The sequence below is a fragment of the Homo sapiens genome, chromosome 12, assembly GCF_000001405.40.
Source record: "Homo sapiens chromosome 12, GRCh38.p14 Primary Assembly".
Lineage (NCBI taxonomy): Eukaryota > Metazoa > Chordata > Mammalia > Primates > Hominidae > Homo > Homo sapiens.
Genome location: NC_000012.12, coordinates 7556764 through 7561124, shown reverse-complemented (window position 1 = coordinate 7561124; position 4361 = coordinate 7556764). Strand labels below are relative to the sequence as shown.

Here is a 4361-nt window from a genome sequence, read left to right as displayed (position 1 = left end):
TTTTAATTGGGGCATTTAGCCTATTTACTTTTAAGGTTAATATTGTTATGTGTGAATTTGATCCTGTCATTATGATGTTAGCTGGTTATTTTGCTCGTTAGTTGATGCAGTTTATTCCTAGAATTGATGTTGTTTACAATTTGTCATGTTTTTGCAGTGGCTGGTACTGGTTGTTCCTGTCCATTTTTAGTGTTTTCTCCAGGAGCTCTTGTAAGGTAGGCATGATGGTGACAAAATCTCTCAGCATTTGCTTGTCTGTAAAAGATTTTATTTCTCCTTCACTTATGAAACTTTCTTTGGCCGAATATGAAATTCTGGGTTGAAAATTCTTTCTTTAAGAATGTTGAATATTGGCCCCCACTCTCTTCTGGCTTGTAGGGTTTCTGCAGAAAGATCTGCCTTAGTCTGATGGGCTTCCCTTTGCAGGCAACCTGACCTTTCTCTCTGGCTGCCCTTAACATTTTTCGCATTAGCCAGGTGGCTATTTGGGGAACAATATTCAAGGAAAAGGGAACAGCCAATGCAAAAGCCCTAAATCAGGACTAAAAGTGGGGTGCTTGAGAACAGCAAGATGGCCAGTGTGGGTGGATATTAATAGATAGGGAAATAGTCAAAGAAGATTCAGAGAGGTGAGGAGAGTGGTGGTAGTCGTGGGGTGAGCTGGTTACTTCCCTATAGACTGGCCATTTTAAGTAACAGCTTTTATTCTGAATGAGATAGGGACCCTTTGAAGGGTTTTGAATTAACCAGTAACATGATCTGACATAAAATTTAAAAAGTTTACCCTGGTTATCTTGATGAGAATAGATACTTAGGAAAGGCAAAAGTAGTTAGGAGGCTGGAGTGGGATTCCAGGCAGGGGATGATGGTGACCCTGATCAGGATGATGTCAATGGATGTAGATGTATTTTGGAAGTGGTGCAAATGGGATTTCCTGAAGAATTGGATATGGAACATGGAAGTAAGAGAGGGATCAAGGATGACCCCGAGAATTTTGCCCTGAACACTGAAAATTGGTGGTGTTGCCATTAACATCCTTTTCATGTATGTGACAGGATCTATATTGGTAATACATGGATTTTACCCATTTATATCTTGTAATGTCTAATTATACTTAGATTAACAAAGTTCTTCCAAGAGATTTTACTTTCTGTTTCAGGTTGCCTTTTTAATTTTGTTTATGGAGTGGAGAAAGGATTAAAGCTGAGCTCCAATCTGAATTAGAATCAGTCCCCAGAAATACCCCATTCAGACTTACATAGCCATCCATCTTGGCATATTTCTTGAATTGTTGCTCATACTGGCTCTCTAACAATTTTTCTCCCAGCATCTAAGTCACATTCTTGATTTGATGGTCAAAATGATAGATGTCATTTGTCCTGTTCATAAAAACTGTCACAGAATAATAAGCCACTTTTCTTCAATAACAAATGTCTTTTTAACTTACCTGCCACATTTTTCCTTTTTATCAACTGACTTTTGTTATTATTGTTGGGCACTCGTTTTTCTGCCTACTTGTATGTCGAATTTATTGGTAAGACATGAAATGTATGAATGATTCTTCTCTTTTCTTATCCATTCTCTGAAGATTTTTACTTTCTTTTTTCAGTGCCTCCCCATAATGCCAGACACCTGAGGATTAGCTTTTTCAGAATAATCTCAAATTCATATTGAACTCTAAAACACTTGTGTACCCAAAAACTTGTGTACCAGTATTTGTAACCACATTGAAGATCCCTCTGATCTTCTCCAACCTATTTGCTTGGCAGAAAATCTGGAAGTCATCTACACCACTCCATTAGTGCCTGCATCCATTAACCAAATTTATTTACTTCTTTATTCTAATATCTATTAACTGTCTTCTCTTAATGTGCCCTTGCATTAATTCAGGCCCTTATCATTTTTCTTGAATTACTCCTGTACCACATACCACAAAACATTACTGATTTATAAGCTGTTCCTAGTTACTTCAACATTTAGGAATTGCAGAAGACATGTTTAGGGGCTCTTTTGTTTGGGAGAACTCCTCAATTACCCTCGATTATGCCAGGTGTTAAAACACTTAGCCAAAACTAGGGGGAAAAGCTCTGCAAAATAAAGCAAAATGATTATTTTTTATTGGTGTTGAGGTTACTATATATTAAATAATGACAGATTATTATATTTTTACTTGTAGGGGCCATGGTAAATATGTAATAACAGAGAGAGACCTCTGCTTTGAGTAGAAGCAAGTCCCAGAAACATGAGAAGGTTGGGGCTAAAAAGGGAGTTGTTGGTTCTCCACTAAAGAACCTCTATAACAGGGCAGTATTAATGGTCACAGGGCAAGGATTATCTGATATTCACTTTTAAGTTTTCTGTTTTCTCTTGCTTTCCTAATGAATTCTTTAAATCTTCATGAAAGGTTATTAGCAGCAATATTAGGAAGAAAAATGTATAAGAGAACAGAGGTGGTCCTAGAGAAGGGAGAAGGGATACTTTGAGAAGTGACCAAATCATGTAAACATTCACGGGAGAGTTTTGGAGATTCTAGGCAGAAGGACTGAGTTCTCTGCAGGACCACAGGATAAGGACTCAAATTACAGATAATTTACTATTAAACTGAAGACTTTTGTTGTTGTTGTTTTGGTTTGTTGTTGTGTTATTCTTGGTGGTGGGTTTTTTTTTTTTTTTTTTTTGAGACAGGCTCTTGCTCTGTCACTTAGGCTGGAGTGCAGTGGCACAATTATGATTCACTGCAGCCTTGAACTCCTGGGTTCAAGCAATCTTCCCACCTCAGCTGCCTAAATAGCTAGGACTACAGGCACACAGCACCACACCTGGCTAATTTTTCTATATTTTGTAGAGATGGGGTCTCACTGTATTGGCCAGGCTGATCTCAAACTTCTGGCCTCAGCAATCCTCCTGCCTTGGCCTCCCAAAATGCTGGGATTACAGTGAGCCACTGTGCCCAGCTAAACTAAAGATTAACTTTAGATATCGGGAGATTTCATAACCACTTGGAATACACACTTTGCTTTTCATTTTATTTTTTATTCTCCTTCTGGTTGTCTTTCTGTGTTTCAAACGTAACCATATTCCCCTGATAAATTACACATAGGGAGCCATATGCTATTTTAAAAAGTTATTTCTTTACTTTTAATATAAAATAAAATATATAGTACAGGTCAGTCAGAAATAAGTAAAGTATAATTCAATTTTTATCATTTCAGACCTTTTAATATATATATAGATATATGTAAAAATATAAATATGTGTAGGTATTTGTAAAATGTAATTATATATTTTAATGTTCTGCAACCTTCCTTTCTAACTTATAAAATAATACTGATTTTCTATATCAGCACCTAGAGTGTCATTATCATTTTTAATAGCTGCATAATAGTCTGTTGAATTGATGTCCTAAATTTTATTGAAAATTTTATTCTCTTATTGGATACACATTTATTTCAAAATTTTCACTACTATAAATAACTCTGCATATGTATCTTGTTCACTTGCTTCCTTAGGATCGATGCCTATTAATAAATTCTTAAATATTTTTGAATTAAGGATTTAATAATAATCACATGGGGAAAATCTATGCTTTGTACATTTTGTACTCAATTTTTATTGTGGATGTAAAAGGCTGAGGTTTTCAGCAAGTAACTGGATGTACTGTTTCTGGGTTTTGCAAGCAGCTGCCTTTAAAAAAGGGAAGCACATTACGCTCTTCCTTTAAAAAACCGTTATGAAAACACTCATCTCTATGCTCATAAGCTTTAAAGAAACTTAACAAGGATGACCATAAATCTCACATACCACTTTTGGAATTTAATAGAAAGAATAAATTTGGTTGTTATCTGACATATTACTCCTTTTTTTTTCTACAGAGAATAGGAGAAAAGATTCTATACTATAAATAAGTGGTAACATTCTTCCATCTGGAGCATTGACAATAAAGAAATGATACAAATATTTCTGAAGCCCACTACATTCTCTTTGCCCATTTGTACTGGCACTTTTACTCTGGATTTAAGTTTTGCTTAGAGTTTACATTTTTTTTCTTCAGACTAAATGAAAGTTTCTGGTCTCTGAGATTGTGTTCTTCATGATGAAAATTCATTGTGCAATTTGCTTTTCTTTGCCATAAAGTTTTCTGGGATCTTTTTATAAAGAGTTTTCTAATCCTATCAGAATATGTTTAAATGGAAAGGAAAATGGGCATGGAGTCAAAGTGTCACTGTTTCAATCCTTGTTCTTCTACATAATACAATGTTGAGTACAGCATTTAACTTATTTAAGCCTCAGTTTTCTTATCTGCAAGATGCAGAAATTATTAATGATTTTATAAAGTGCCTGGCAAGATGAAAGGAGGCCAT

The 4361-nt window shown here is 35.4% G+C and overlaps 1 annotated feature.

Annotated features, from left to right (window-relative positions):
* Nucleotides 3585-3785: a silencer, noted in NCBI's record as "peak1556 fragment used in MPRA reporter construct". NCBI's record gives its function as "represses an SCP1 promoter by STARR-seq MPRAs in K562 erythroleukemia cells {active_cell/tissue: K562}" and the evidence as "EXISTENCE:reporter gene assay evidence [ECO:0000049][PMID:32103011]".